Source organism: Homo sapiens, chromosome 3 (genome assembly GCF_000001405.40).
Source record: "Homo sapiens chromosome 3, GRCh38.p14 Primary Assembly".
Lineage (NCBI taxonomy): Eukaryota > Metazoa > Chordata > Mammalia > Primates > Hominidae > Homo > Homo sapiens.
In genome coordinates this window covers 16887758-16898987 of record NC_000003.12, presented here as the reverse complement: position 1 = coordinate 16898987, position 11230 = coordinate 16887758, and the positions used below count along the sequence as shown (strand labels likewise).

The 11230-nt window shown below is 37.8% G+C and overlaps 1 protein-coding gene across 1 annotated transcript in view, besides 1 other annotated feature; it reads right to left on the bottom strand.

Annotated features, from left to right (window-relative positions):
- The window catches only part of PLCL2 (phospholipase C like 2), a 205652-nt gene that overhangs the window by 191619 nt on the left and 2803 nt on the right, over positions 1-11230 (bottom strand). The gene's annotated exons all lie outside the window — the stretch shown is intronic.
- Positions 9585-9684: an enhancer, noted in NCBI's record as "active region_19556". NCBI's record gives its function as "activates an Ori minimal core promoter by ATAC-STARR-seq in GM12878 lymphoblastoid cells {active_cell/tissue: GM12878}" and the evidence as "EXISTENCE:reporter gene assay evidence [ECO:0000049][PMID:35858748]".

Sequence of the window (11230 nt, the reverse complement as noted above, 5' to 3'; positions counted from 1 at the left end):
CAAGTATTACTGCCAAATGGCCTGCCAAGGCGTGGGTCCCCGCAACCCCCTCCCCCTCCACCCTCCAACCCCTGCCACAGCTGGCTGGGGCCTCTGGCCCCAAGCAATCTCCTCATGTTATCTAGACAATTATATCATTTTCCATGTGTGACCTGGTGTGGAAAGGTTTTAAGTGCCATTTTGGAACATAACTAATAGATCCCGTGGTCCCTGTTGTTCCCAGGAATGACGGCCCTGAGAGTTGCCAAACTGTATCTGGGGACAGCTTTATCAAGCCCTGTTATTTTGGTGGTATCTTCTAAGCCATCCTCCACCTTGTCTTACTTTACTGTCTGGCAACCAGTAATGATGAGGACAGGTCAGGGCCACTGCCACAGAGGCCACACATCTCACCAACTTCCCAGTAAGGAGCCCAGTAGAACGCTTGCTATGTGGCTATGTGCCTGTTTCTCTCGCACTATTTCACTCTCTTGCTTCCAGACCCCTCCGGGTAGCATTCATACCCGGCAGCTATTCCTTAGGACAAAAGGGCTATTTAACTATTTTAAAATCTTTTTCAACAATACTTTTTTTCCTAACAATGAAGATGGGTAAGATCTGGCTAATTATGCTGTAGGAAAGGAAACCTCTCTTATTCTTCACTTGGTAAATATTACTGAGTACTGAATGTTCCAAAAAAAAAAGGCTGTAGATTTTCTCTCCCCAAAGAATATTAAAGTTCATTTCTACTACACCTCCCATTTAGAATACGTAAATAAAACTGCCTGTCAAAGGTATATGTGTTAACAATTGTGTCACAATCAAGATAGGGACAGCTTGAGAAAACTTTGCTGCTGCCAAACTGTTGGTGCCTCTCCGGCCTCTAAACAGGGGTCTCCAAGGACTTGGCCTTCCCCTCAGGTCACTACTCTTCCTTGGTGCCTACTCAAGACAAGTGAGGGGCACAAGCTTCTTGGCTAGAAGACTCATCCTTGTCAATGTGGAAGAGAAAAAAAAAATGACCTAAAAAAATAAATGGGAATGACAACCTCTAATAATTTGTGCAGTCCAGTTGAGGAGAAAATGAGTACACACTGCATAACTAAGGTTACAAACAAGTAACGACTGAAATCTTCATGTTACTGCTTTGCAGCCAATAAAATATGTTTTATAGATGCCTCAGGAGTTCAATGTTCATTCCTCTTTACCGCGAAGGTCAGCATGGCAAGAGGAAAATGCTCTAGCATTCAGAAAGTACACATTCACGCAAAGGTCATGACGTGCCAACCCAGATGTCAGCCCACCCTCGGGCGGAGCACTGGAGCATCACCAGATGGTTCACATCCTCCCCGCATAAATCACCCTTACAAACAGACACCTGTCTGGCAAGTGCCGATTTATAATCTTCTGTGAGTAAACAGCGTTTTTACTACACTCATTTAGCAAAGTGAAACATCCAATCACCTCTCTCTAGAAATAGTGCTAGTGCCTCTGCCAAACTAATTCTTTCTAAAGACAATTTTTCCTAGGGAGGCTCCTCCTTCATGCTGCAGAATGCCATGGGTACACCTATATAGTTTCTCTTGTGAGGGATGGACAAGAGCCCAGGGACTCGCCAGGAACTACAGGGACTAGGAGCTGCACAGTAATGATTAATCAAGGGGGATTAAGGCTCCAAATAACCAACCCAGGGCCTTTTTTTTTTTTAATTGACATAATTTTTACCTTTACCTAGATCAAAAAAAGACACATAGGGCAGACTGTCATTTTCACATATAAAATCTATTTCTCCAAATTTTACTAAGGAATTATTCCCCTTCATTGACATTTTATATCCCCTCCAAAAAAGGGCAGCTCGACTCCCTTAAAGAAAAACTCCACCGCGGCAAGTTAAGGTTTAATCCTGCCCCCTACACCCCACCAGCCACATGCTCACCAACTATCATCTGCAGGATTCCGGGAGCTGTTTGTTCTCTCATATCTAACAGAGCTACACAGGGAAGTCGAGAACCCAACATATAAGAAAGGTTTCACAGCTGTTGTTAACCCTGGCTATACTTTAAAATCTCCCAGGGCACTTTAGGAAACCCCCAGAGGTTCTGATTCAATTGCAGCCAGGTGGGGTCTTCACATTAGTATGTTTTAGAATCCAGGTAATTCCAATGTGTCTTAAAATGACCCATCTGAAGATTATTTCCCCTTCGTCCTTTCCTACCCAAAAGAATATTTAGATTAGGCAGAATAAGTGTTCAGTAGAGCTAAAACTCTCTGTTGACCGACCACCTGAGATCCTAGGTATGCTATTACTTAGCAGTGATCAAACAACTCTCCATTTTGTCCGTATATCTGGATAACTGGTTTTGCTCTGTTAACTGCTTTTGAGACCAAAAAGCTCTATCTAGAAAACTGTTATGTGAAGAGCAGGTGCTCCACAAACGAGTGGTTCTCAAAGTTTTATTATGAGCAGCACATTTTCAAATATTAAAACTTTCGAGTGCACCTGAAGCTCAAAACTACACTAAACAAATCATAAAAACTCCAAGCAATCACGACTGCAGTGTAAGATGACTGCAGTGACCAACACACTCTTCACTAATGTGTCAACTTTCCACCCAGGCCCAGCTCCTTTTGTGCTTTCAGTATATTCCAAGGAAGATCCAGTCCTCAGGCTCTTCCAGCAAGCTGCCCCTCTCTCCACCCACCCCCTCTCCAGGCCATCAACTAGTGCAGGGCTTTAGCAGGTCTCACCACGTACAAGTGTCCACAGCAGCAGAAATGTTTCACATGCTGATCCACAGACAGCAAAAAACTGTAAAAGGCACGGCCCTAAATAGTGCAGGAGGAAGTAACCAATTGGTATCTGAGTTTGATTAATGTTCACAATTTAATTGTTTGAATAAACTTAATTTGTTGCAGTATGATAGACTTCCAGAAAAAAAATCCTAAGTGTAAAACCTAATGGATTTTTACAAAGTAAACCCACATTTGGAATCACCAACCAGATGCAGAAACCAAACATCACTGGCACCCAGTAGGACCCTTGCTTCCTCCCTCAATTATTATCCCCAAGTGTAACCACTATTATAACTTCTACCACTCCAAATTAGTTTAGCTGCTTTTGAACTTTATATAATTATAATCAAAAATATGTATTCTTTTGTGGCTGGTTTATTTCCCTTAGCATTATGCTTGGGAGACTCAAGCAGTGCATAGGGCAGTCATCTGCTGTTTCTGTTCTTTCTTCCTTTTCCTCATAGGATTCCACTGTATGATACGCTATTTTATAAGATAGGCATTTGAGTTGTTGCTTTCAATTTGGGACTGTTAGAATTAATGCTGCTTTAAGGACTCTTGGAAATGTCTTTCAATATACATATGGAGTAACTCCTGTTAGGTATATACCTAGCCAGAAAGACAGTGTGGTAAGTATATAAGGACTTTATGTGTATGTAACAAAATAGACTCCAAAAACAGACCCATACATAAATGGCCACTTGATCTAGGATCGAAGACCAATGCAGTGCAGTGGGAAAGAGATTCTATTTTCAAATAAATGGTGCTGAATTAATTGGATATTTATATGGAAAGAAAATCTTTAACCCTACCTCACACCACACACACAAAATGAAATCCAGATCTAAACATGAAAAATAGAACAATAAGACTCCAGTGGTTAAATAAATGACTATCTTCATAGAATTAGGCTAAGTAAACATTTCTGAAACAGGACTCAAAAATAATAACCATAAAGAAAAATACTGATACACTGAACTTCTCTAAAATTAAGAATTTTCATTAAAATATACCCTTTAAGACAGTGAAAAAGCAAGTCACATACTAGAAGACATTTTCAACATATATCTATATCGATATAGATACATGTTTCAACATATATCTATATCGATATAGATACATGTTTCAACATATATCTATATCTATATAGATACGTGTTTCAACATATCTATATATGTTGAAAATGTCTTTTGTGATATATCACAAAACATATATATCATCTGAATAATTACATTGGCATTTAATATAAGCTATTAGCACGGATTGATAGAAATAAAAATCTAAGCGATATCCTTTATTTTCTTCAATAATAAACATTAAACCATATAAACAACTTGAATATATATATATATCACAAAAGACATATTCAGAAAATGTAAATTAAGTCCTACATACCATTTTTTTWAAAATAAAAACAACCTGACTTTTTAAATGGGCAAAAGACTTGAACAAGCATTTTCACAAAAGAGAATATCCAAATGGCCAAGAAACATATGAAAAGATGTTCAACATCATTAGCCATGAGAGAAATTCAGCCAAAAAGCCACAGTGAAGTACCATTACATAACCGTCACAATAGTTACAATCAAAAAGCAAAAAGACAAAGAAACACTGATAATACCAAATGTGTGCATTTAGAGCACCTAGCATTCATATAACCTGGTAGGTGTGTAAATTGGCTGGACCAGTTAGGAAAATCACCTAATAGTATCTACTAAAGCTGAATGTACACATGTCTGTCCTATGATATAGTAATTCTACTGCTAATATTATTTTTAATGTATAGAAAATTATTTCTGGAAATATACATAAACCAGGGAAAGCTTTGGAAGAGCATACAGATCTCTTTCAACAAATCATCAAATACTCCACAGATGAAGACATTCTCAAAACCAGTATTTCAATAGGAATTTTATTAGCTTCAATATGAAAACATCTGAATAATTATATTGGCATTTAATATATTAGCATGGATTGATAGAAATAAAAATCTAAGCAATATCCTTTATTCAATAATAAACATTAAATCATATAAATAACTTGAAAAAATACATTTACTATGACTACAGAATATCAGAGTTTAGAATAAAAAATAAAAGGTAGCAGGAAACCATATGGAGAGAGTCATATGGCTTGTAATTCTGATGGTAGCTGCAAATGAGGTCACTTAACCCTCTGTGACCACACTAATTGGTCAAAAGCAACAGAGGCTTCATCAGCAATGCTCATAGGGAACAGCCTATCCCTTCCTGGGCATTTTCAATTTAAAGAGCATACACCTGCTACCCATCAGTCCATCAGTCTCTGAGAGAGAGACACAGGATTTGTGTCAACCTAGCACTACATTATTTGGTTTGCTCTTAATCTTTACGATTTATAAACAGTCTTCAGGGTATATGCATACACAAGTATAGCATGTGTACACATGCAGCTATCTATAGCAAAAAACAAATTCACAAAAAATAGCTATTTTTTTAATCTAGAAGACCACATCTTGTTCTATTAATACTCACATACTGCAGTATTACATAACAAATTTTTCCAATTCTGTTATGCTAATATGCAAATAAATGAATTCAACCATAGCTAGGAGCTAAATGTACTAATCAGTATGGCCTTGTGTATCTCTAACTACAAAAGAATTTTACATGATCTCTTTCCGCTGTGAAAATCTCATGAATCTCCATGATTAATCACTTTTAAACCCAGCTGCTTGGTTTCTGGGATGTTAATATCTGCAATATCCAAATCAGTACATTTAGCACACTCCAAAAATATACTGAATATTGACTACACAGTAATGTGTTGTATTATTGTATTCTAAAATTCTATAATTAGTTGACAATTCCGAAACAATAATAGAAGAAGCCCACCTAAAAAAACAAACCATTACTAGTTGTTACCTGCTTTACCTTCCAGGACCCTAAAAATGCATAGAACTATAAATCAACTTTTTGTTAAAAAAGAAATAAAAATGGAAACTAACCCCCCTAAAAGAATTTCTAATCCATCAAAGGAGAGCAGAGAGGAAAAGGACAAGGTCCTGGTTTGCAGATCAGACAGAAACTTGAGGCACGATGGGCAGGACTATGGTTATGGCTTCATGTTGGTTAGGTACACATTGGTTTCATCATAAGATTCAGCCACAAAAAGCCAAACTTTTCTCATTAAAAATTAGTTGTCTATTTTAGTACTGGTAGAAACTGCTAAGATCAAGAAGTCAGAATGGCTTGGGCAAGTAGGAGAAGAAAGAAAAAATCAAAGTCATCCAGAGGATGGAGTGGGAGAGGGTGATGGAGCAGTTCAAAACATGGACAGTCAAACCTGGTCAGAATGCTGGCTTTGCCTCTTACAGCCTCTCTAACCTTGCTTGGAAATTCCCAAACCTTGTAGAATGGGTTCCCTTGTCTGTAAGGGGAATGATAATGTCTCCTTACAGGTTCTGGTGAGACTTGCATGAGACGATGCATACAAAGCATCTCCTAGTATCTCTTCTTCACCCAATCCTTGCACTGCAACAAAGGGCAGAATTTCTACCATTACATGACAAAACATGCTGAGGAATTAGAGATCGCACTCCTACAACTCTTATCAGTACTCCAGATTCCTTATGTATTTTATTTTTAATTATTAATTTTATAGCACTTCCAATGAATACCATGTGACTAGCAAATATTAATGACAATAGGAGTTTAAGTAATTCAGTTCCTCAAAAATAAACAACAACTGAGCAAAAACTACAGATATCACTTAAAGAAACCAAATACCAAAAAACAGATTAAATCCCTTAGCAAACAATAATGTTCTCTTGCCATCCTTTTTAAACTTTGACAGCAGAATATAAATCAAAAGAAAATTTCAAAGGCCTATTCTTATTTCAGGGCACAAAAGGGAGCAATCATTTATATTAACATCTTCCAGAACAGTTATAGAATTAACCAAATTCCTAGATCCATCTTTAAATGAAGGTATTTCCTTTGTTTTCAAAATTATGTACATGAATAAATTTCTTCTTTGAAGCACACATCCCACTGAGTTTTATATTCCAATCAAAACCAGTTGGAGTTAAGTCTAAATAACATCTTCATCCAACTCCTAAGACTCATTCTTGTCCCCTTATTTATCCATTCACACATTTATTCAACAAATACATACTTAAACAAATACTTTTCACAAGACATTAAACTAGGTGTTTTCATAAATTCAGGATGAAAAAGATGTAGTTGCCTAAGAGGCAGAAGGACTGTATGGAGATACAGGGAGAGTGGTGGCTGGAAGACAGAGAAATAATTCATTCTAACTGGGAAGTGGTTAACTGAGGAAAACCTTAAAGATTACTAAGAGAGAAGGAAACCTGAGGAAACAGAGGTGTCACCATAAAGGCTAAGTTTAGGCACAGAGGGGAATCTCATGGGGCTCCAGCATAGGTTGTAAGGCAGTTTGTGAAAAGAAGATTACAAGTAAGATGACCATATTATTTATCGTCCAAGCTGAGATGCCTTTGAGAGTTAAAGGAGGCACTATTAATAATCTTGTCACAGCAAAAGATGTAAACCTGGATTGTCCTGGGCAAAGCAAGACATGTGGGTGCTTGGCACAATGAAATTGTATGTTCAATACCCTTTGATCCCATAGTTGGGGCTATTTACATGTGTGTGCAGTTGTACTGAGGTATCAGATTTAGAAAGACACCAAAACAATTATTGAAAGCATTTATGGAACATGCCTGAGAAATTTCCCTAGGCACATTCTGCATATTTCAAAAGACAAAACTTTCAAAACGAGCATGGCCATGTTAGTCTGCTCACCTCTCTAAAGGAGTCTGCTCAACTAAAAATCAGAAAAACACACTAATGCTTATTAGGTGCCACACACTGCTCACACATCAATCATCTCCTTTAATCTTTACAACAATGCTATGAGAGGAGGTTTTATTCTACCTGTTTTAGAGATGGAGTAACTGGACATACAGACTTCAGTATCTTGCCCAAGGCCATAAAGAAAGGAACCAGGGAAGCCAGGATCTAATCCAAGCCCCTAACTACAGACTTTCTATTGTTCCCACCACAATTCTGCCTCCTGAATAATCCAGATACGCAACATGTGGCCTGGGGGCAGCCCTCGACCACAGGATGCAGCCCAGCTGAGATTACTAGCTAAAATATGGTTCACCTAATTACCCCTGCCATGGGACCAAGTGCTAGTGGTAAGAGGGCCTAACAACCTGCCCTGGTTTGCCATTCTGGAATGGGTGGGTGCCAAGTGTCCTGCCAGAAGGCTGGACCATTCACATAATTGTTGCTGAAGCTCAATGCAATGAGTTATATACTTTGGGCACCCTAAAGCTATGGAATTACTCTGATACAAAGAATAGTGGCTGGCTCTAGCGGCTCTGACTTCAGTTTGAGTCACAAACGACACTCATGCTAAGCACAACCCTCTCAATTTACCAATCTTATCAGTAGAAAAAAGCTCAGCAGGCAGCTTACAAACATAACAGTCGCAGATCCTGTGGTCCACTGGTAAAAGTATTTGAATCCCACCAATATAGAACAGAAAAGAAGTTAAAGTAATCCAGAAGTCTGGTAGATAAGTAAATAACTGGCATCCAAAACTTAGTATTAAGAAGGAAGAAAGCATCTATTCTTGAACACATAAGTATAAAGTCTGAAGAAAAACTATAAATGTTCATACTTCATTTATATCTGCATTTAGGCTGTAAATAATGTTGCCCTATTTTGTTGAATATTGAAGCCTGGGTAACTTAAGCATAAAAAAATAAAGTAAATAACATTCTAGTTTAGGCTCCTTGCAGAGCACAAAGAACTATAAAAGGAAGTGAACAGATTCTGGGATAGAACATTCTAAGAAAATAACTTGTGGCCAATATCAGCAATTAATAAAATAAACAATTTCCTGTCAGTTGCCTATTTGGATTTGATGAAAAACAATGCAAATCAAATACAACCATTTGGGGGAGGCTGGAAAATGGAGGAGGAGGAAAGCAAAAGGGAGCAAGTAGATTTTAGGGCATGAAAATTAATATACTCTGCTTTTGAAAACCTAAACTGAATTGTGACAAAAGCTCTTTGAGCAGGCTAAAACAAGCAACCATGCTTTGGCCTTTCAACAGTTAACTTGTGTGGTCTAAAATGTATTAGCACAAAGTAAAGTGGGGAGTTGCTGATTGGCCATTAGATTTTTCTGACCTTAATGATCCAGGTTTCCTATCTATCCAGACAAATTCACTTTGTTATCCAGCTACTGTCTGTTTAATTATTTATGATGTGCCCACAGGTTTGCTGGGCATGCGGTATCTTTGTTTCCCCCATTCAAAAAAAAATGTCTAAAGTCAAACGCAGATATTATTTTTAAGATCCAATTAAAAAATGGTTACTGAGTGTTTGTTACCTGTGCAGAACTGGTAAATACAGTCCAACTTCTGCCTGCAAGGAGCCTAGTTTATTTAAACCATGGGCCAAGACACACATAAAAGTTTTATTTCATTTAAATGTGTATAATAGATGTGAAAAGGCTGCTTGTTGTCCATGTTGGAGAGCTCAGTGTCAAGACATAGGTGAACATAGTAGTATAAAGACAGTAAAAGTGTTTCTCCTACACCACATGACACTATGACAATGGCAATAATGATACTAAGAAAAATAAGGGCTGCCACCTTGGGCAAGGTCAGATCATTGGTCCCTGTGAAGCTGCAAGCCCTGGTCAAGCAGCCACAACGGGTGACTAAAAGCCTCCTGGCTATGTTATCTGCCAACTTCTTCCACCAGCAGAAACAGAGATTCTTTTCCTTCTTCCAATATCTCCTACATTTAAAGAGGGCAATCAAATCCAATGTCTGAAACCACTGATGCTGCCTTAACCACAAAAAATTCAAACTGCCACTGTAATGTGGGGAAGCAATGGAGTGCAGCCATATACCCAAGCGGGATACAAGTAGCTCCAGCACCTGGGGCACAGGGTTAACCTCTCTGAACTCTGATTTCCTCCTGTCTCTGTGGTTAGCACAGGACCAAGTCAGAGAATTACGGTAAGCACTTTTCACGTGTTTTGCATGCAGTGAGTGTTTAATAAGTGTTGGCTACCGTTATTACTTCTAAATACCAAGATAAGGTAATGGCCGAATTTCCTACTGATTAAAAAAGAACCGAAGATTGCCATTGTCTGGGGATGAGGGGAGCGAAAGATCACAGAGACCTGGGAGTTTTTTGAGGTGATGTTAGTGCCCTATATCTTCATGATGGTGGTGATTAAATGACTGAATGTATTGGTCAAAGTTCACAGAACTCGACACAAACCAGTGTGAATTTTACTGTATGTAAATCATACCTCATTTTTTAAAGTATCAACCAAAGTATTTAACTAGTTCTGACTAAATCATCCACAGCAATAGACATTTTAACTTCATTTCTTTCTAAACTTAAACAGAAATCTAAGGCCTAAAATGCTACTTCATATTTTTAGACCAGGCTCTTGAATTAAAAGATTGAGCTATTTGCAAATAAGGGATGCCATCTGAACAATTAACCAAATTAACTGTTTCAAAATAAAGCATAGATTATATTGAATAGAGTGATGAAATGAATTATGGAAAGAGAAAATGAAAGTGATGTTTTCATTTACTAGATTACTTAAGATGACAAACATAACGGCTTCTTCTCTAAAATCCAGTAATGAGCCTTTGTAAATAATCTCAAAAGTCGACCGTTATTTTCAATAAGCTAAGGAAAAGTAGAAAAGTCTGGTGATGATTTCCATGATTTATTTATCATCTCAAGGTATTTGTAAAAGGTTCTACAAAGCTGCTCACTCTGAATTTTAATCAACACTGTTAACATAACCAAAGAGTTCTTTTAGTATAGATCTGTGCATCTATTTTGGCAGAAAATATTGTTTTACAACAATTTCTTACTCAACACCACATTTACAAAACAGATGGAGTACCAAATAAATTATTTTAAATGAGGAATAAGATTCGGGTCAGCCTACAGTGTATTTCTGCATATGCCCTGCACTTTAGCAATAGTCCCCCTTTCTTTGCCCACCTTATAGCACATTTAGGCCATTATTCTCCCTCTGATTTAAGGATCTCCAACAAAGAGGGCTGTCAAGACTGTAATGAAGATGAAAGCTAGGAGAGAGGCACAGTTCAGAAGCCCAGCATTTCAACTAATACAACCCCATAAATACCGGCCTCAGTTCCCCAGGTAGCATTCACTCCCTGCTATTCCCTCAAGTCCCCAATTATCACCTTGCTTACTAATCTACTCCTGCCTCTACTCAGAGACCACCTGACTGCATTCATCCCTTATATTAAAAAAAATAAGGAAACCAAGGAAAGATGTCACTATTGCTTTTTCACATGGGCTTCTGCTTTAGCTTTTTATTCTTTTTTTTTTTAAACAAAAGTGAAACATAATTTCTGCCATTCACATGACAA